The sequence below is a fragment of the Homo sapiens genome, chromosome 21, assembly GCF_000001405.40.
Source record: "Homo sapiens chromosome 21, GRCh38.p14 Primary Assembly".
NCBI classification, from domain to species: Eukaryota; Metazoa; Chordata; class Mammalia; order Primates; family Hominidae; genus Homo; species Homo sapiens.
Genome location: NC_000021.9, coordinates 31385206 through 31407907, shown reverse-complemented (window position 1 = coordinate 31407907; position 22702 = coordinate 31385206). Strand labels below are relative to the sequence as shown.

The window sequence follows — 22702 nt, the reverse complement described above, 5'->3', positions numbered from 1 at the left end:
CTAGCATTTTGGGAGGCTGAGGCTGGCCGATCACCTGAGGTCAGGAGTTCAAAACCAGCCTGGCCAACATGGTGAAACCCCGTCTCTACTGAAAATACAAAAAAATTACCCAGGCGTGGTGGCGGGCGCCTGTAATATCAGCTACTCTGGAGGCTGAGGCAGGAGAACTGCGTAAACCAGGGAGGTGGAGGTTGCAGCAAGCCAAGATTGCACCACTGCACTCCAGCCTGGGTGACAGAGCGAGACTCTGTCCAAAAAAAAAAAAAAAAAAAAAAAAATTAAGAGCAAATGACTCATTTGAAAAGGACAGTATTGAAATCCTTAACCTTAGAACTGGAGCCTGCTCCCGATGGGTCGAGCCACGGACTTTCTTTTGGTTTTAACCAGGGTATCCAGTGGCTCACCTCAGCACCAGTGGTAGCAGTAGTGCTTGGGAGAGGAGGTTGAGACTTCTGGGTCTTTTAGAGCTATGTTTATTTACAAGTTGTTGGGATCTTTGCCGAGGTGCTTGAGCCGCTTCTTCGTGTTTCGGTCCCACCATCTGTGAACTCCACTGATGGTGTGTAAATTAATAAAATGCTCCATGAGCCCAGGATGAGAGACTTTGGAGGTGCCAAGAGGAATCGTAATAAACAATATTAAACAACTCCAGGGATTTTAGCAGCGTTTACAATTTTGGCTTCACACACTTAGAGGTTTGGAATCGTTTTATAAAACTGACTTGAAAACCATGCATTAGGCTTTCTTTGTGTGATTGGCAACACTTCAGAAACCACAAGGATCCCTGCTTTTGAGATGTTTCGAGAGAACCTCATCAATATGGCACGGAGCTCTGCCTCCTAGTGAGAGCTGTCACTTTCCCGGGAATCCTTCCCTTGCTCATGGGAATGTTGGGGATGTCATTGGTGTATGACCTTAAAAGTGTCCTGGGAAAGAAGGACAAGAAGGGAGGAGAATGGTTTTGGCCAGTAGTTGCAGTGTTATTGGTATGTCTGGTGTTTTAATAGAGTGATCTGCAGAACTTAAAAAACTCATCTAATGGCACAAACTTTGTGTGAAACAGGGCAGTGTATTTGGGAGTTTGTTGATTTTTTTTAAGGTGAAAATTGAATGAGGAGGGGTAGAGTGACACATACCACTGACATTTCATGTCTGCTTTGTTGGAGTTTTATTTGTGACTCGTAAGTTCTACCTACAGGGCTGAGAGCTCTGATGGGCTGGTGGCACCAGCATGGTCTGACTTTTCTCTGTCTGAATATTTAGTAACATGCAGATTCTTCCAGAATCATGGCTGTGCCTTCTTTTATCTTGCATTCGTAGAGTTTGGGACCCAGGTGCTTGATGAAAGTTTATTGCATTAGTAATAATAATAGACAACACATGCTGCTGTAGGGCAGGCCCTGTTCTAAAGCTTTTTTGTATTAATTATTTAATCTTCCCGAGAATTATAATGAAGCAGGATTCTAACTAATCCTATCATCCTCTCCATTTTATAGAGAAAGTTTAAGTAACTTGCTTAAGATTATTCAGGTCTTAAAGGGTGGGTTCTATATGCATCCAGCTAAAGGGATTTGACCTCTTTAGCATCAAATTCCTTCTCTTAATCATTGCTCTATAGGCCTAGTATTAAAGTTCTCAAAAGTTTAATAAATTATAATGATGTCTGGATTTTATCTTGGGAACCTGCTCAAGAGTGACAATGTTAGGAGTGATTTTTTTTTTTTTTTAAGATAACATTTAAGCCATGGGACTCAATTTGTGTTGAGTGGGGTGGGGGTGGGTGTTGAGCCATATTAATCACTGCTAAGCCAGTGATCACCAGCAGGGCTTGCACGTTTGTGTATCTTTGAGAAGAATTTAGGATGACGGCAATCTCTTTGAGTATGTCTTGTGTTTTGAATTCCATAGGAGCCCAGTCTTTTATACTTTTAAAGCAAATATGGTTGAGGTTTATTAGAGTTAAGGCTTAGGAAGGTGGAGGTGAGTTTTGTGGTTGGAGACTCTGACTTGGTTTTGCTTTTCTTAATATCACTTTTAAATGTCTCCCATCTGTGTTGTGTGTGTTGGGAGGTGATATGGTTTGGCTCTGTGTCGCCTACCCAAATCTCATCTTATGGCTCCCATAATTCCCATGTGTTGTGGGAGGGACCCAGTGGGAGATGATTAAATCATGGGGGCGGGGCTTTCCCGTGCTGTTCCTGTGATAGTGAATGGGTCTCATGAGATCTGATGGTTTTAAAAATGGGACTTTCTCTGCACAAGCTCTTTTTTTTGCCTGCTGCAATCTATGAAAGATGTGACTTGCTCCTCCTTGTCTTCCACCATGATTGTGAGGCCTCCCCAGCCATGTGGAACTGTTAAGTCCAATAAACCTTTCTTTTGTACATTGCCCAGTCTCAGTTATGTCTTTATCAGCAGTGTGAAAGTGGACTAATACAGGGGAAGTGGGCTCGGGAAGGGGGATTAGTGGCAGAGCAAAGCAAAGGAACCGGTCCAGGGTGGGGATAGGCTGAGGACATTGACTTTCTTGGACTCTTGAAGAGAGTGAACTGTGCTGGAAATGCCCTTTCTGGCTGCCCCTCCCAGGAGCAGGGTCATGTGTTTGCTGAATTGTACCTGCAAGTTTTTTGTTATTGTGATTTATTCATTTATTTATTTTTGAGACACGGTCTTGCCCTGTCACCCAGGTTGGAGTGCAGTGGCATGATCATGGCTCACTGTAACCTTGACCTCCTAGGATCAAGTGATCCTCCTGCCTTTAGCCTTCCGAGTACTTGGGACCACAGTTTGTGCACCACCATATCTGGCTAATTTTTTTATTTCTGTGTAGAGATGAGGGGGTCTCACTCTCTCGCCCAGGTTGGTCTCAAACTCCTGGGCTCAAGCATTCCTCCTGCCTCGGCCTCCCAAAGTGCTGAGATTACAGGCATGCCCACTATGCCTGGCCTGTATCTGCAAGTTTTAAGGGCCAATATCAAAATATTAGGATCTAGGAGGAACAGGGAGCTGTTGGATATTGGTAGAGCTCTGCAAAATGATAAATGTCATGAGTGTTTTTTTAAACTTTATTTTTAAATAATTGTGGACTTACTTACAAGAAGTTGAAAGATAATAGAGAGGTCCTGGGTACCCACCACCCAGCTTTCCCCAGTGGTGACATCTTACTTAGCTATACTGCATTATCAAAACCAGGAAATTGAAATTGGCACAATGCAAGTCACAGAATTGCAGACAATAAATAGGTGGAAGTGGTAGCTCAAGTCTGTAATCCCAGCTACTCAGGAGGCTGAGGTAGGAGGACCACTTGAGTTAGGAATTCCAGACCAGACTGGGCAATATAAAGAGACCCATCTCTTAAAAAAAAAAAAAAAGACCATACTGGAATTTCATTAGCTTGGCATACACTTTTTTTTTTCCTCTTTAAAATAGGACTTAGTGTAGGATTTGACCAGTGTTTTTTGATGAGGGACAGAACCTCTGTCTAAGACTGTAATAAATGTTGTATAGACACATGGCTTTTTAGCATAGCTCTGTTTGCTTAAGTATTTTTAACACGGCAAACAGTTGAGTGGACTGTGAAGTCCAGCAGCTCAGTTATGGGATAGAGACCAAGCAATTTGGTTATTTTCATTTATGGTCTTGAACTCCTTGGGGTTATTATCTTCACTTTTTTGTTGCCTTTTCAGAGGGAGGATATTTTCTAAAGATAAAAGGATAATTCAAGGTCATTGTGTCATCTTAAGAGCTCTTGGAGGGAATGATAAACAAATGTTGTTTTTCCTGGAAAAGGGTGGGATTTCGATTAATCAGATAAAAGGTATGGACTGATAAGACTCAAAGATCATGGATGCAATTTCATGATAACTGTTAGAGTGGATTTCCTTTTACAATGACAGCCCTGTGTGAGTTGCGGCTAAGTGTCGCCTGCTTGGCTTGCCTGTGATTAATTGCTCCTGCCTCCGTGATCCCATCACGCTTTGCTGAGACTTCCAATTAGCCTCTGTCACTATCTGCCCTGGATTTGAGCTATTTGTGAGGGTGACTGTCTTCTCAGCTAGACTAGGAAGTCTTTGAGGGCAGGGACTGTCTAATTCATTTTTTGACTTTTCTCCTCGTTCTTTCTTCCAGTATCAAGCAAGATGCATCAAGCAGAAGGGATCTCTCTATTCTCCAGCCCCCAGCAATTTTTAGACTATTCCTTATTCTAGCTTCACTTCTTTATGTATTTATCTGGGCATCTGTTTGTATGTTATGTGTATTTGAAACCAGTAAGGCTGAATCCATGGTAGATTATTTTATAATTTTGAGCTATCATGAGTCAGACTGGCCTTGTTCTGTAGCGCTACCTGAATAGCTGAAAAACAGCCTGAGAGCTTGGTAGATTTTCTTCAAAAAAAGCAGCGGGGAGTTGTTTTTGTTTTCTCTGTACTATGGAATTTTTTCTTAAAAAAGTATGTCATCGGCCGGGAGCAGTGGCTCACGCCTGTAATCCCAGCACTTTGGGAGGCCTAGGCGGGCGGATCACGAGGTCAAGAGATCGAGACCATCCTGGCTAACATGGTGAAACCCCGTCTCTACTAAAAATACAAAAAATTAGCCGGGTGTGGTGGCACGCGTCTGTAGTCCCAGCTACTTAGGAGTCTGAGGCAGGAGAATCACTTGAACCGGAGAGGCGGAGGTTGCAGTGAGCCAAGACTGTGCCACTGCACTCCAGCCTGGATGACAGAGCAAGACTCTGTCTTAAAAAAATAAAAAAGTATATCATCTTTATACTTAACTGTTAACCTTGGGATAATTCAAATTCTTCTGAGTCATGCTGCCTTTTGGGATTCGGCATTTCAGGGATGTTGGCAGTGGTCTGTGATTATGAGCCCTGCACATTAGCCGTGGTGCTGTGAGCCCCTGTCTTCTTGGAGACGTACAGGAAGATACATTGTTTAGTCACTTTTTCTTTTTGAGACGGAGTCTCACTCTGTCGCCCAGGCTGGAGTGCAGTGGCATGATCTTGGCTTACTGCAAGCTCTGCCTCCCAGGTTCACGCCATTCTCCTGCCTCAGCCTTCCGAGTAGCTGGGACTACAGGTGCCTGCTACCACGCCCGGCTAATTTTTTTGTGTGTTTTTAGTAGAGACGGGGTTTCACCATGGTAGCCAGGATGGTCTCGCTCTCCTGACCTCATGATACCCCCGCCTCGGCCTCTCAAAAGTGCTGCTGGGATTACAGGCGTGAGCCACCACGCCCGGCCTTTAGTCAGTTTTTCTAACGGGGAGAAACTGAGGGGGGAAATACTATGTTCTTGGGATCTTTTGGTTATGATGAAATGTGAAGAAGCTCTCTCAAGTGAACTCATGCAAAAATGGTGTTACTGAAGGGATATGGGAAATGTCGTGGACGGCCAGGGTTGTGCGGGCCTTGTAAAGCAGGAAAATCAGGAAGAGACGTTGGTCCTGCATCTCTCAGAGGCCCCCATAGTGTCAATTTTTGCTTTTCTCTGCAAGGTTTTGCCATTTTCTTGTTCCTACTTGCAGACTGACTTTCTTGGTTGGTCTCTGACGACATCTCAGATTTACTGCTTACCAAATGGCTTTGATTTGGTGCAATGTTGCTCTAGTCCAATACTACCTGACCTTTCCTCTAGGTAACTGTCTTAGTCTCACAGTGTCTCAATTCCAATTTTTTGTTGTTGTTGTTTTTTTTGAGACAGAGTCTCACTCTGTCGCCAGGCTGCAGTGCAGTGGCTCAATCTCGGCTCACTGCAATCTCCGCCTCCTGGGTTCAAGCGATTCTCCTGCCTCAGCCTCCCAAGTAGCTGGAATTGCAGGTGCGCACCACCACGCCCGGCTAATTTTTTGTATTTTAGTAGAGACGGGGTTTCACCATGTTGGCCAGGATGATGTCGATCTCCTGACTTCCTGATCCACCCGCATCGGCCTCCCAAAGTGCTGGGATTACAGGTGTGAGCCACCATGCCCGGGCTCCAATTTTTTTTTTTTTTTAAGAGATAGAGTCTTGCCTTGTTTCCCAGGCTGGAGGGCAGTAGTGCGGTTCTAGCTAACTGCAACCTCGAACTTCTGGGTTCAAGCAATCCTCTTGCCTCAGCCCCCTGAGTAGCTAGGGTTCCAGGCGTGCATACCACCATGACCAGCTAATTTTTATATTTTTTGTAGAGATGGGGTCTCGCTGGTCTCGAACTCCTGGGCTCAAGCGATCCTTTAGCCTCAGCCTTTCAAAGTGCTGGGATTACAGGCATGAGCCCAATCTTAATTCCAAATTTTTAAGTGAGAGTCTGTTTGGCCAATACTGAGTCATGTATTCACTTAGCTTCTGCTGGGATGCAAGGGTGTATGTATGATGGGTGGTCTCAGACTTGCCCAGGCAGGCTCTCCAAAAGGTGGGATTGTTGGGAAGCAATGATTGACATGGCTGCCATATCCCAATAGAGGAACAGTTTACCATTGTTTATATTCGGCTCTAGGCTACAATAGGAGGGCAGGGCCCATTTTTTCTTGCCTAGTGTTAGCTTCCAGCTTTTCCCAGTTAAAATTTCAGGTCTAGACAGTAGAATGAGGAAGAGGTACAGAAGTGCTGGAGTCTATCTGTAGCTGATGAAGAGCTGGTTACTAACACTGACTAGGGGCAGAGGTCATTGGATACATGACATCACCAATGAATATTTAGTTTAAAAAATACTTTCATTCATGCTTTTGAATTAACTTAGTGCATATGAATTCATCTTTTCATATGCACTTGTTTACTTTTTGAGTTCCTAACTTCGACTTAAAAAATGCAGACTCACCCTGCAGTGATTCCACTTTATTTATTTATTTATTCATTTATTTATTTATTTTGAGATGAAGTTTGCTCTTGTTGCCCAGGCTGGAGTAGCCCAGGCAAGAGTAGTTTTGCTCTTGTTGCCCAGCCTCCTGAGTAGCTGGGATTACAGGAGCCTGCCACCATGCCCAGCTAATTTTTGTATTTTTAGTAGAGCCGGGGTTTCTCCATGTTGGTCAGGCTGGTCTCGAACTGCCGACCTCAGGTGATCCACCCACCTCGGCCTCCCAAAGTGCTGGGATTACAGGCATGAGCCACTGTGCCCGGCCGGGATTCCACTTTAATAGTCAAGGACTTCTGATGTGTGTTGAAGTCACTGGATGACAGGAATACAGTAACCAAATGGTAAAGACAGAGAAGAGGACTGGGCAAGACCTAAAGGCTTCTATGCCCCACTAACCAGCTGTGTCACTTTGGTAACGAAGTTCTTTGAATTTCAGTTCCTTATCTGTAAAATGGGGTAGGAATAGTACCTGTCTCATCATGTCGTTGAGAGGATTCCATGAGCTAAAATCCATTCAAAGGCACTTTACTAGGCAGTTGGGATATAGGAGTGCAGAAAATCCACAAAGATCTTGCTCTCCTGGAGTGTATATTTCAGCATGTGCTGCCACTGCTCTAATTTATAAATCAGAAAGTGTGGTGTCTGGCCGGGTGCGGTGGCTCATGCCTGCAATCCCAGCACTTTGAGAGGCTGAGGTGGGCAGATCACCTGAGGTCAGGAGTTTGAGACCAGCTTGGCTAACATGGTGAAATCCTGTCTCTACTAAAAATACAAAAATAATTTGCCGGGTGTGGTGGTGGGTGCCTGTAGTCCCAGCTACTCGGGAGCTGAGGTAGGAGAATTGCTTGAACCCAGGGGGTGGAGGTTGCAGTGAGCCAAGATCACGCCACTGCACTCTAGCCTGGGTGGCAGAGCTAGACTCCGTCTCAAAAAAAGAAAAGGAAAAAAAAAAAGAGTGTTGTCCTTATATTTCCCCTTATATTTCCTTCCAATTCTTTAAAATTCTGGTTTAGCTTTTGTTTTTTTGTTTGTTTTTTTTGGTAGATAGGATCATATACAGCTGACAGTCAGGCTTCTCTGACTTATATGTGTGAGTGAGTGTATGTGTGTGCCCATACGCTATCAGGAGCCCTTAGAAATCAATGAAAGTGTCAACATTCTCTGAAAAAGGTCTGTTTTCCAAGGCAACCATGAAGTTAGCTTTATTTGAGTTAGGGGAATAAAGAAAACTTGTGAGAGACATTTATGAGCTGGTATATTGGCTTTGATGATCCAGGGAAAGGCATGTCTATTTGTGCAGGGGGCCACTCATTTCGCTTGTATCAACTCAAAGTCAAAAATCTTAATGGGTTTTAATAATGCTAAATGTCATATTGAATTTAAGCTTGGAAAATTTCAGATAACACCTCTTTGTAACAGCTATGGTTTACTCATCTCTTGGGCTATAACATATATCTCAAGACACAAAATCCTCCATTTTAGAAATGTTCACATTTTGCAACCTTTGCTGTGAGCAATAGAAACTTTTGGGGCAAGCTCTTTTAGATGAAGAAGGTATTTCCCCCCACAGTGGATGCATACAATTCATTCTGTCAGCCTGAAGAAGCAATTTCCTTTCTTTGCCTTGGGATTTAAAGCAATAATGTATTGTATATAATTATTTAATTTAGTTGACCTAAACGTTAATTTATTATTTTTAAAACTTTAATAGATTGTAATATATCTTAAATCAAAATCGGTTTGAAATGGCACGAAGTATTTAAGGATATTCTCATATAAATTTTAAAGAGAGAACTTATCCAAGCCAATATTAAAAAAAAATAATTTCCTTGCTTTATAGACAAATTTTAGTATATCTCAGGGGGCATTGATGTTATATCTAAAATGTCAAAGTAAGATTTATAATAATAGAAATTTATTACTCTTTATTATACATAGTATAAATGAGTAAAGCAACCAATTCCGCCTTGTGGAATTAATTTTGGCTTTGCTGTTTCTTTTTAGTTTCTGGCAAAGGCTATTTTTATTTTATTTTATTTATCTATTTATTTTATGTTTTTAGTGGAGATGGGGTTTCTCCATGTTGGCTAAGCTGGTCTCGAACTCCTGGCCTCAGGTGAGCTGCCAGCCTCAGCCTCCCAAAGTGCTGGGATTATAGGCGTGAGCCACCGGGCCCATCCCAAAGGCTATTTTTAATAGTTTGAGAAGAGTCAGAGCCTGGGTGATAAGAGATGCTGACGTTTACATTTCTCTTTCTTCTTCAGTTTCACAAGATAAGTGATCAACTCTGTATTCTCATATCACACTAAATCGTTCTCCATATCTGCCCAGGCACAGACGGAAGCCTGCTTAGATATTTATCAAAGTGGCTAATGCCCTTGTTATTGTAATTGGTCATAATTTTTCTCCTTTACTGAGGGAGCACAAAGAATTTTCCTGTCTGGGAACTGTGTACTGTGCTATGAGGATGGCAAACTTCTGCCTACAGTTGGAATTTTGCAGTGATAGCACATCCACCATTTCTTTATGTGCTTGGTCAGGTGTTTAGATATTTGAAGTGTGATGGAGAATACAAAAGATGTGGGCTACTTCCCATGGCTATGTTATTTCTCATTTTTAGTGGAGTAAAATTATGTGGTGGTTTATTTAAGAAAAAATTTTTGACATTTTCTTCAGTAACACAAACCATTACCACTGTGTGGGAAAACTGACCAGGTCTCCCCCAGGCCCAGCTTATCCACAGTTCTTCATTCAGAAGGATGGCATAAAAAGTAAGATTGTTTTACAATTTTACACGCCTTTCTGAAAACAGGTGCTTCCTTTGTGAATTCAAGTTAGTGAATTGATGTGGTCATTTCAACCTAGTTTCAACTCTGGTTCTAAAGAACAAAGCTTTTTTTTTTTTTTTTTTTTTTGCCCTGAAGATTGACATTTGCTTGCAGAGATTAGGCACTTCCTGTGCCCCTGGGTCCCATTCTGCTGGTGCAGAGGGGAGGTTGGGGGAGGTTGTAGGGGGGAGGTCAAAGGGAAGCCAACACATTGGTCCATGTACATCCCATGGCAGTGGGAGGTACTTGGAGTCTGTGCAGATCTGCACAGGGGCAGGCTGAAGCTTGCTTAGAAGTTTATCAGGTATTCCATGGTTCATCCATTCTACAAGGTAGCAGGGAAGAATTCTGAAGTTCCTTTGTTATCTGTAAATGGTTAGTGTGAGACCTGTTGCCTCTGTCCCTTCTCATTTCCCTGTTTTCCATGTCTTTCGTTTTGCCCTGGCAGAAAGCAGCCCAGCATCTTCACATTCTGACTTCTGGAATGGAATGAAAGCGTTTCTTTCTGTATAGAGAGGTTTGTTTTACACAGAGCTGCCTTTGACTGGGAAGACTCCCCCTAACAGATTTGGATCATAACGTGTTGGCACCAAGCCAGGAAGGATGGCCATAAATTGTAATTTGAATGAGGTTTCACCAGCTCTTTGTCCTGTTATCTCATTTCTGGCGCGGGGATATTGGGCAACTTAAACCAGGAGCTGATTTGGTCAATGTGATTTTCATGATTTAAATTAGAAATGTTCATTTTGGGTGGCAGGTATCAAGATTTTTGTATATTGGTTTCTACTTCTGAATTTTTTTCAAAGGAATTAAAATGGGAGGAAAAGAGGAGAGAAAGGAAAAGAGGAAGGAAGCGGTTTGAAACATGGACCCTTAGAGCTTTTGGATGCAAAAAGATCTGTATAGGAATTTGGCACTTGCTGTATATGTGACTTTGAACAACTTCTCTGCCTCAGTTTTTTGCTGTTTATAAAATGACACTTACAAACGGGCATGATAGTTCTTTGTTAAGAGATCATATCTCTTCAGAGCCAAACATAGTGCTTAGAATATAAAAGATACCTAAAAAATCCTAATTCCCTTTCATTACCTCTTTGATGTTACATCTAAAGATCTGCTGCTAAGTTGAACACAGACTTTATCACTTCCAGGCTGGTCTGAATATAGGTCTTGCTAGAATGTTGTTCGCTTAAATACAATCATATCACAGCGATCGAAGGATCCCTTTGCTTTGGTTTCTTTCCACTATTAGAAAAGTGGAAGGGCATAAAATATTATTTAAATTTTTTTTGTGTGTGTGACGGAGTCTCACTCTGTCGCCCAGGCTGGAGTGCAGTGGCGCGATCTCGGTTCACTGCAACCTCCACCCCAGGTTCAAGTGATTCTCCTGTCTCAGCCTCCTGAGTAGCTCGGATTACAGGCATCTGCTACCAGGCCCGGCTAATTTTTGTATTTTTAGTAAAGGTGGGGTTTCACCATGTGAAGCCAGGCTGGTCTTGAGCTCCTGACCTCAAGTGATCCGCCCACCTTGGCCTCCCAAAGTGCTGGCATTACAGGCATGAGCCACCGCGCCTGGCCCAATATTTTGTTTTATATTAATATTATTAAATATAATATTGTTATAATTGATAATATAATTGATATTATATAATATTTCATATTATTATATTAATTTTAAACATTTTACATTTATTATTATTATTTTTTATATTTATTGAGGACCAACTCAGAGCCAGACAGTGTTTCGGGAGCTACAGTGGGGCAGGTAGGAGAATAAACATGGAGGGGGTGATAGGTATCTATTTTAGACAGGGTGGTCAGTGGATACTTCTCCCAGGAGGTGTGATCCTGAGGTCTGCGTGGAGGGAGAGACCCCGTGGAAATCTAGAGAAAGAGCATTCCAGGCAGAGGGACCCGCGAATGTATTGAAGATTGGCAGGAGGCATGCGTGGGAAAGGCAGGAATGGGGCAGGCGCCGAGGTCACAGCCCAAGTCACCTGCAGGAGCGAGGTTCTTGTTTGGATTTTGGGCAGTAGGAATCGGCATAAGTTGAACCACAAACAAGCCCCTCTACTCCTCTTAAGAGACTTTGTTAGATGTGTTTTGCAGAGAAGATGGAAAATAATAGTGTATCTGTTACTTTGATTACAATTCCCATCATATAATAATTAACTGCTAGCTGTAATTATAAGACTTCCTCTAATTTAGTTTAGCACTCTGGGGACCTCTGTTAGCCTATATCCCAATCAATTTCACAGCCATTACGGAGGAAAAAAGCCATGTTCCTGTTGAATTTTAAATCTAGAGGAAGAATGATGCCCTCATTTGCTAGACAGCCTTATTTTGTTTTCGCTCCTTGTTTTCTTTCTGTTCAGGCCCTCCCTACTGGCCTGCTGTTTCAGGCATGTACATGTTGTTTCCTAATTAGGATAGATTTTCACAGATAGTTGTTCATTAATTCCATGCATCTCACGTCCTTTTAATAACCTCCCCAATTTATAAAGCAAAAATTTTCACGCGACAGCCAGGGGAACGCATGCGCCCCCTCCCCAAGATAGATGTTTTAGTCAATATTTATTCTCTCGTCCAGCACCTTTTACTACCCCCATGCCCTCTGTGTAAGTTCATTTATGTGGAGAAATGTAACGCAATCTGCTTTCTCAGTTGGAGAGAACAATACATTCTCCTGTGGCAGAAAATGCAGGGTTGGCCCTTCTCTTCGCCTCTGTGGCGTATCTGGTGATTGGCTGTGTTTAGATGACCTCGGTCTCCGAGGGCCCCTCTTGTCCAATTTTCCCTGCTGCTCTGGTGTGAAAGCCATCCTTATTGTCACATGGCTGCAGCGGCACCGTGTCCCCAGTGGACTGCTTCTCTCTGGAGGCAAGCAGTGATCTGTGTGTGGGGCCATTTGTCACTTCTCTAGAAGTAGCCCCCTGAGACGTAGTGACATCTCCAGAGAGCTCCAATTACTAGTTTTGTTCTCCCCCCACCTCCTCTTTTTTTTTTTTGAGACAGAGTCTCACTCTGTTGCCCAGGCTGGAGTGTGGTGGCGCGATCTCAGCTTACTGCAACCTCTGCCTCCCAGGCTCAAGCAATTCTGGTGCCGCAGCCTCCCAAGTAGCTGGGACTACAGGCACGCGCCACCATGCCTGGCTAATGTTTGTATTTTTGGTAGATACGGGGTTTCACTGTGTTGGCCAGGCTGGTCTTGAACTTCTGACCTCAAGTGATCCACCCACCTTGGCCTCCCAAAGTGCTGGGGTTACAGGTATGAGCCATCATGCCTGGCCCCACTTACTAGTTTTATAATAATGCCTGTAGCTCATGGGTAGCAACTAGAATCACTTTATACTATGGAAGGAAGAAGAAACCAAGGCTGTGGGCAAGGAGGTGGAGGGAATGATTGCCCACTGCTTCAGGCAAGTGGCCATAAACAGGAGCCCTGTGTGTTTGCCCTGGCTCCTCTGGCAGTGTGTGTGTGTGTGTGTGTGTGTGTGTGTGTGTGTGTGTGTGTGTGAGAGAGAGAGAGAGAGAGAGCGAGAGAGAGAGAGAGAGAGAATGAGTAGATTTTCATTTTTAGAGGAGTTTTAGGTTGCCAGCCAAATTGGGTGGAAAGCGCAGAGTTCCTGTACGCCCCTTCCTCTCTCACTCCTGGCCCACCTCTCCCACCACCAACATCCTGCCCCAGACTGGTGCATTTCTTACAAACAGAAAACCAACATTCAACTGTCATCACCACCCAGAGTTCATAGTTTACACCAGGCTTCACTCTCAGTGTTGTACCTTCTGTGCGTTTGGACCAATGTATAATTACGTGTGTTCACCACATAGTATCCCACAGAATTAGTTTCACTGCCCTAAAAATCTTTTGTGCTCTGCCTGTTCATCCCTCCTTTCCCCCATCTCCTGGCAGCCACTGCTCTTGTTACTGTCTCTATAGCTTCACCTTTTCCAGGATGTCGTGTAGTTGGAGTCATACAGTGTGTAGCTTTTTCAGATGGGCTTCTTTCACTTAGTAATATGTCTTCAAGGTTCTTCCATATTTTTCTGTGGCTTGCTAGCTCATTTCTTCTCAGTGCCGGATAATATTCCTTTGTGTGATATACCATTGATTATTTATCCCTTCACCTGCTGAAGGACATTGTGGCTGCTTCCTAGTTTTAGCAATTATGAATAAAATTGCTATAAGCATTCACATGCGGGTTTTTGTATGCACAGAATATAAATATAAATGTATATTCACATAATATATAAATGAAATTTATTTGTTTCTGATTATGAAAAAACGTGCTTTATTGTATAACATTTGGAAAATATTAAAAAAAGAAAATCTTTAAGAATCAGTATAAGCCTATTTATTAATTTAATGTAATAAGATACATGAAATTGGAACTCTCCTGGAAATGCAGGCCATATGGTTATTATATAGTATAACAGTCAGTGGTAAAGACAGGAAAGATTTAGGGCATTCTGAGTGCTGGTTCTGTTTCCATTAAAACCACTCCTTAAGTGACTTTTTATGATACTCCACATTCAAACAGACACTCTCAGCTTTAGAAAATGGCTATTTAGCAGTCCTCACAAACAACTGAAGTCCAAGGAGGTACTGAAATTCTTCTCTTAAAAAATTCAGATATACTTTAGCCATGGTTCTCAGTGGTGGTGGAGAGGATTCCCGACATTCATGTGGAATCCAGCAGTTTGGACACACACAGGTTTTATAAGGCTCGATGTGACTGCATTCAGCTCTGGGAGCCTCCATGTCTCTTGGGCGTGTTCTGGGTGCAGAGGCAGAGGATGCTGCTGGGGAGGACAGGGTGGTGTTGAGCTCATGGAATAGTAATGCCTCAAAAGCAGCCTCAGAAGTGGACGTCAGTGGACAGCCTGTTGCATTCGTTTTTCATTTTTAATAATTCTGGCAAAGTACTGTGTTAATCGGTTTTTCATTGCTGTAAAGCAATACCTGAGGCTTGGTAATTTTTAAAGCGAGGGCTGGGCACAGTAACTCATGCCTGTAATCCCAGAACTTTGGGAGGCCAAAGTGGGCGGATCACTTGAGGTCAGGAGTTCGAGACCAGCCTGGCCAGCATGGTGAAACCCTGTCCTAACTAAAAATACAAAAATTAGCCGGACATGGTGGTGGGCACCTGTAGTCCCAGCTACTTGGGAGGCTGAGGCATGAGAATTGCTTGCGCCCAGGAGGGGGAAGTTGCTGTGAGCTGACATCGCACCACTGCACTCTAGCCCGGGCAACAGAGTGAGACTCAGTCTCAAAAAAAAAAAAAAAGAAGACAGGTTTATTTGGCTCACGGTTCTGTATAAGCAAGGCACCAGCATCTGCTTGGCTTCTGTGAGGCTGCAAGAAGCTTTTACTCATGGCAGAAGATGAAGGGGCAAGCATGTCACATGGCGAAAGGGAACAAGAGAGAGAGTAGGCGGTGCCAGTCTCTCTTAACCCACTCTCACTTGAACTAACAGAGCAAGAACTCACTCATGACTGCAAGGATGGCACCAAGCCAAGGGATCTGCCCTTGCCTTGACCAGAACACCTCCTACCTGGCCCCACCTCCAATATTGGAGGTCACATTTCAGTATGGGATTTGGAGGGGACAAATGACAACACTATATCAGGTATTGAAGATCATTTTCGACTTTTTTTTTTTTTTTTTTTTTTTGAGACAGAGTTTTGCTCTTGTTGCCCAGGCTGGAGTGCGATGGCGCGATCTCAGCTCACCACAACCTTTGCCTCCCGGGTTCAAGCGATTCTCCTGCCTCAGCCTCTTGAGTAGCTGAGATTACAGGCGCCTGCCACCATGCCCGGCTAATTTTGAATTTTTAGTAGAGACGGGGTTTCATCACGTTGGTCAGGCTGGTCTTGAACTCCTGACCTCAGGTGATCTACCCGCCTCTGCCTCCCAAAGTGCTGGGATTACAGGCGTGAGCCACCGCGCCCAGCCTCATTTTCGACTTTTTAACAAGGCAGACAATACCAAGTTAACCTTAAAATACCGTGTTTTCATGGCTTCTGAGAATGGGAGTACAGATGCTCATCAACTTACAATGAGAATATGACTCAGTAAACCCATCGTAAGTTGAAAATACCTTAAGTTGAAAATACATTTAATACACCTAATCTACCGAACATCCTAGCTTAGCCTAGCCTACCTTAAATGTGCTCAAAACACTTACATTAGCCTACAGTTAGGCAGAATTATCTAACACAAAGCCTATTTTATAATAAAGTGTTGAATATCTCATGTAATGTATTAAGTACTGTACTGAAAGTGAAAAACAGCATGGGCGTATGGGTACTTAAAGTATGATTTCTACTGAATGCTTATTGCTTTTGTGCCATTGTCAAGTCAAAAACTGTAAGTCTAACCGTCCTAAATCAGGGACTCTCTTTATATGTCTAGCAGCTTTTAATTTTAAAAAAAGTTAGGTATTCATGGTCTCTTTTTGGTGGAAGGAAGCAGGCCTGCGGGCAAGAATACAAATGGAGGCACATATAACCTTTGTCTGGATATGTAAAAGTTGTAAGTCCAGGTAACAAATTGTAAAATAAAATATATTCTCCCACCTTGACAAATAGACTTTCCGTTGTTTTGTTTTGTTTTTTTTAAGACAGAGTCTTGCTCTGTCACCCAGGCTGGAGTGCAATGGTGCGATCTTAGCTCACTGCAACCTCCACGTCCTGGGTTCAAGCGATTCTCCTGCCTCAGCCTCCCGAGTAGCTGGGATTATAGGCGCCTGCCACCACGCCCAGCTAATTTTTGTATTTTTAGTAGAGCCGGGGTTTTGCCGTGTTGGCCAGGCTGGTCTCGAACTCCTGACCTCAGGTGATCTGCCTGTCTCGGCCTCCCAAAGTGCTAGGATTACAGGGGTGAGCCATTGCGCCCGGCCTAGACTTTCATAACGACTTGGAAAGCTGGATTCAGAGTTACAATTGTCAGACTCCTTGGAATACCATGTGGGAACGTAAGGTAGGGAAAAGCCAGCCCCAGCCATGACCTTTCCTTATCCTCCCACCCCTGGCTCCATCTTGGACAATGAAAGGTTTTATGGACACAACAGCGTACACAAAGAAGCCCCCTTTAAAATCCCCACCAAGAGCTGCCCTCGGGCCTATGAGTGCACACGTAGCATCGTCCTCTACCTTGCCAGGTCAGAACTAAGAAAGAGCCCCTAGAAGGCCTGGACGTGGGCATTGGGTCCAGGGTGCCCTGGTATCATCTAGAAAGGTATCTGCCTGTCTGCCTTTAAGAAGAGGCGTGGCTGGTAGAAGGCCAGAGAAGTCCCTTTGATGTGCGTGCCCAGGTCCTACTACGAATCTTTGAATACTGGTCTGGTTTTGATCCTGGAAAAGCTAGTCGTCACTTTCTGCATGAAGAAAGGAGAATGAGGAGCCTCCATTTGGAATGTATTAGAATTCAGCAGCATGCAATTAAAAAGTTGTTTTTAATGGGTGAACATCAGTGTTTCCTGGCATAGGTTCATTTAAAAAGCTCTGGGCTCGATCAAACAGCAAAATATACATTTATACAAGGTGGTTTGTTGTTGTTTTTAGACTTTACTTTTCAAGAACCATAATGAAGTTTTGCTTAAAAATTTCAGTCTTTGGTTGCACGGATCATGGTTCTCTTCTGAGCTGATACAATGTTTCACCTCCTGGAATCTTGTCTGATGACCTTCTTCCTGCTCATAACATCTGTGATTGTATAGGTGCTCCTGCATTCTTAATTCTTACTTTCGGGGGGATGCTGATGAGAAGAGCTAATGTAATTTCAATACATAGGAAAAGGCAAAGCCAAGATCAAGTTTAAATTGGAAGATATTATCTTAAAGGGTACAATAGTGAAGTGAACGTGTATACTGGTAAATCACTTGTCATTTTTGATAACAGTAATACAAAAGTTTTACAACTTGTCCATTAGTGAGATTCTCAAATTGCTTTAGAGAATATAGAAAAACAAGAAAGTTGGAGTCCTGAGGTTCTGTTCTCCTGGTGATTGGAGAGAATCTAAATAATACCTTGTTTTTACATCATTAATTATTTAATCAAAACTGAAAACATTATGTCCATAATACTGCATCCACAAAGTGGGTACTGAGGAATGAGTAAGTATAAATTCTCCAAAAATCTCTCACGTTCCCTCATTCTTGCTTAAGAAAGTCTTTGTGCTTTCTAAAAAATTCCTCTTAATAGATTTTTTAAAAATATATCTTTAAAATGAGGAAGCCATACTGAAAAGTGATATGTTCCAAGGCTTTTTCCCACCACTGGAAATATTCCTGATTACTGAATGTAATGAAATAAATTTGTCATGTTGGACATAATGTGTGGTGGAGTGCAGAATGAAGAGCCCAAAACTCAGAGTGGAGGCTTGACATTTATAGTTATAAATATGTGCTTTAGGAATTGATTTATATAGAAAAATACCAGGGCTAAGATAGATAAATTGAAGCTTGTTCTCACTAAGTAGGTTAGACAGTTCATCAAATATTGGTTAAAATCTTTCTCTCTCTAGAGGTTGAAAATAAGAGATTAAATGGTAGTATCCAACGCATGGGACTTTGATTGTCTAGCCGACCAGTCTGTTCAAATGAATATAAATGTAGTTGGGCAGCCTGTGTATGCCTAGTGTGTTGTAGCATGTGGCTCAGCAACCTAGCCGGCCACTGCCTTGTTTTGTTGCTTAGGCTAAGAATAGACTTTATGGTTTTAAATGGTTGGGAAGCCTGGGGGCGGTGGCTCTCGCCTGTAATCCTAGCACTTTGGGAGGCCGAGGCAGGCAGATCACCTGGGGTCAGGAGTTCCAGACCAGCCTGGCCAACATGGCGAAACCCTGTCTCTACTAAAAATACTAAAATTAGCTGGGTGTGGTGGAAGGCACCTGTAATCACAGCTACTCGGGAGGCTGAGAATTGCTTGGACCCGGGAGGCGGAGGTTGCAGTAAGCTGAGATCGTGCCACTGCACTCCAGCCTGGGTGACACAGAGAGCCTCCATCTCAATAAAATAAAATAAAATAAAATAAAAATAATAAAATAAATGGTTGGGAAAAACATCATAAGAAGAATACTTTGTGATATGGGAAAGTTATATGAAATTCAAATGTCAGCATCCACGAATAAAATTTTATTGGAATGTAGCCACACCCATTCACGTATGTATTACCCGTGGCTCGTTTCATGTGCCAGTGGTGGAGTTGAGTGCGTGTGACACAGACCTTATGGCCAGGAAGGCCTGAAATATTTACCATCCGGCCCTTTGCAGAGAAAGTTTTCTGAACCCTGGCTTAGCAGAGCCAGTGCTTCTTGCTGCTGGCAGCCCGTGGTTGCCCCTTCTTTCCCCTTGTCTTCTTGCTTTTACCTTAAATTTGTGTTAAATTATAGTGATAGGTAATGCTTTTGCTGAGTGCTTACTATTTTAATTTCTTCAATTCTCATATGAACTCTGTGATGTAGATTCAATTATTATCCCCATTTTACAGATGAAGAAATTGAGGCATAAAAACATAAGCAGCAGGGCTTAACATCCAGCCTCCTGGCTCCCTCCACTTTCTCTGTTTTTTTTTTTATTTTTTAAGAGACAAGGTTTTGCTCAGTCACCCAGGCTGGAATGCAGTGGCATGATCATGGCTTACTGTAGCCTCCAAGTCCTAGGCTCAAATGATCCTCCTGCCTCAGCCTCTTGAGGAGCTGGGACTATAGGTGTGCATCACCATGCTTGGCTTTATTTTATTTTATTTTATTTCATTTATTTTTTGTAGAGATGGGGTGTTGCTTTATTGCCCAGGCTGGTCTTGAACTCCTGGTCTTAAGTGATCCTCCTGCCTCAGCCTCCCAAAGTGTTGGGCTTATAGGTGTGAGCCACCATGCCCGGCTCTGCACTTTCTCTTGACCACCCTGTCCCCTGCATCTTGGAGATCAACTTCTGGCATTTGTACCCTTCTTTATCAGATTCACCGTATTCACGTAAGAGGTTGTGTGTGTGTGTGTGTGTGTGTGTGTGTGTGTGTGTGTGTGTGTGTTAGGGTCTTCTTGCGTTGGATAAAGAAATACCTAAGACTGGGTAATTTATTAAGAAAAGGGCTTTAATTGGCTCGTTGTTTTGCAGACAGCACAAGAAGCTTTTTGCGGCGTCTGCTAGGCTTCTAGGGAGGCCTCAGGAAACCTATAATTGTGACGGAGAGTGAAGCGGGAACAGGCATGTCACATGGTGAAAGCCTGAGCAACAGAGTGAGAGAAGGTGCCACACACTTTTAAACAACCAGATCTCATGAGAACTCACCATTGTGTCACAGAAGTCGTGCTCGGGCAGCCTGCGTGCTTGCAGCAGGAACCAGGCTCTAGGCCTCCTCATCAGGGCCACTGGGAGGAGGCGACTTCACTCCATGCACCTGCCCCTGGGGAAGGTGCGCCTGGGAGAGACCCACACACTGCTGCTGCCGGCTTCCCTCCAGGCCCACCTCCTCCCCAAGTGACGCTCACCACGGGCCACTATGCACGGCCACCTGGCACCAACTTACAGAGCCGCCCACCACTGGGGCTGGCACCCTGTGCCTTGGACCAGCGTCCGCAGCCGTAGAGAGAAGTCCTTGGTCTTCCCCTTCATCCTTGCTGGCTACCTCCGTGGGACAAGGACTGATTCCTCTTTTCCCCTTCCCAACATCGTCAGAAGACAGTGTCCCTGCACACCATCCATATACAGCCTCTCCTTGAAAAAAGACAGGCCAGGCTCGGTGGCTCATGCCTGTAATCCCAGCACTTTGGGAGGCCAAGGTGGGCAGATCATTTCAGGTCAGGAGTTCGAGACCAGCCTGGTCAACATGGCGAAACCCCATGATATAAAAATTAGCCGGGTGTGGTAGTGGGTGCCTATAATCCCAGCTACTCGGGAGGCTGAGTCAGGAGAATTGGTTGAACCTGGGAGGCAGAGGTTGCAGTGAATTGAGATGGCACCACTGCACTCCAGCCTGGACGACACGAGCGAGACCCTGTCTCAACTGTGCCCCCCACCTCCAAAAAAAAAAAAAAAAAAAAAAAAAGAGAATAAGCTTCTACAAACAAAAGCCCTGTATTGAGCTTCAGTCTGCTCTCGGGGTGGGACGGGGGCTCCCCACATCTCTGGGAAAAGAGAAGGCTGTAGCCACCTGGGGGGCCCAGGGTGGTGGGTCTGGCAGGTGGTGCCACAGCTAAGAGAGCAGATACCAGAAGTTCTAAGAGGTGCTTAGACAAGGGCTGGTGCCAGGCCATGGGTGCCCAGCCCAGCGGGGCCATGCCGGAGCAGATAAAGCTCAGGACGTCAAAAACACCCTGGACACCAAGGCAGAAACCAAGGACCTTCCGCAGGCAAATAAGCTCCCAGCATCCATTCCGGCTGTCAGTGCCCCTGTATCCTGTAGTTATTCTTTTAACAATAGCAAAAGCCATTTATGGATTCCCTCTTGAAGCAAAACCTTGTTTCAGTCACCTCTCTCTGGCTGTTACTTTCCTTCCACCCGTGCCCTCCCTAAGATGTATGTACCTGGCCTGTCCTCCCTGGGCCATACCTGTGGCACATGTTGGACACTTGCACAGGCACAAGGATGTCTTTGGGTCCCTTGCCCTGCAGTTTGCAGGGGTCTCTGCTCCGAGTTCCCAAGTAGTCCCCTCAGGGAGAAATAGCCTCACATGCAATATGGGTGTCTTAGCGGCCCATCTGGAAGGGCTGCGGCAGTTCCTCCATGTCTCCAGGTAGCCACTTACCTCTTGGGCTTAGACACCTTTGCACGTGGTTGCATTTCTTTAATCTTCTATGGGTCTTTTGGTGTGGGTTTGATTTTGCTTTTGCTTTTCTAGGTGAGATTTCCCAAGTGCATCCTCAGAAGCTCTGGGCATGCCAGGGGACCCCCAGAACCAAGAAGGGAGGGTGAGTGGGTCTCCATTCCCTGAGAAGCCAGGGGCAGGGCAGGATAGGGGAGACCAGGAGCAGAGTTGAGCCTCACAGAAGCCAACACAAGTCTCTGCTCAGCACCCGTGCCAGGGCTGCGGGCCCAGGGAAACAGCCCCATTTCATCACAGCCCCTCTCAGAGCCTCGAGATAGCTGGCGCAGGCTGCTGGCAGGAGAGGGATGCCCTGTCCCTGGCAGCCCCTCCACATAGCATACCCCAGCATCTGCCACCACCTTCGTCCTTGCTTTGACCTTGAAGTTAATTCTCTTAGAGTTTAATTTTGGTTCATTTCTGCATAGGCACAATACAGTTATTTGTTTAAAATGTTTATTATATATATTATATATAATATATTAATACCAGTATAAATAACATTAATATATTATCAATTAATATATTAATTATATTAACTAATATAATTATATTAACTAATATAATTAATATATAATCAATATGTATTATATATAAATATATAATATATTAAACATTTTAATTTTAAATTAAATATTATTAAAATTTATTATATATACATATTTGTTCATAAGATTTACGTTTTAAACAGCTGGTGTAGGGTACATTTTTTTTTTTTTTTAAATCTTCCAGTGCAGTATATTTTTTAAAGCACAAATTGATGCCAAGACTGGGTGAGGAATATACATTACCCCCTTATTATTTTGTAGTTTTGGGACCTTACCTGTGAAACTCTTAAAGATTTTCCTCCCTCCTATTTCAGGGTGGGTCACATTCTGATGAATGTTTCACTTGTACAGATCCTAGCTTATTGCCTTGACCCAACCGTCCCTACAGACACTGGGTGACTCTCAGGCTCTCCCTGCATCTCGCACCCCAAAATGCCTTGGGACCCTTGACCCCACCCTTCTTTCGTAGCAGCCCACAGCCTTGTGGCTTGTATGATTTTGAAAGTCCCATTCTATTTTATGATGGTTGATAATAGTCATTAACCTCATAAAGTCTGTTTTTTAAAAATCTATATCTATCTATCTATAAAGAACACACTATTGAAAGGACAGCATTGCCTGGTCAAATGGTGAAACCCCGTCTCTACTAAAAATACTAAAAATTAGCCAGGCATGGTGGCAGGTG

The 22702-nt window shown here is 43.7% G+C and overlaps 1 protein-coding gene across 8 annotated transcripts in view, besides 1 other annotated feature; it reads left to right on the top strand.

The window, feature by feature from the left end:
- Positions 1-22702, top strand: part of TIAM1 (TIAM Rac1 associated GEF 1) — a 440670-nt gene that overhangs the window by 151180 nt on the left and 266788 nt on the right. The window lies entirely within an intron of this gene.
- Positions 3886-4086: a silencer, noted in NCBI's record as "peak4404 fragment used in MPRA reporter construct". NCBI's record gives its function as "represses an SCP1 promoter by STARR-seq MPRAs in K562 erythroleukemia cells {active_cell/tissue: K562}" and the evidence as "EXISTENCE:reporter gene assay evidence [ECO:0000049][PMID:32103011]".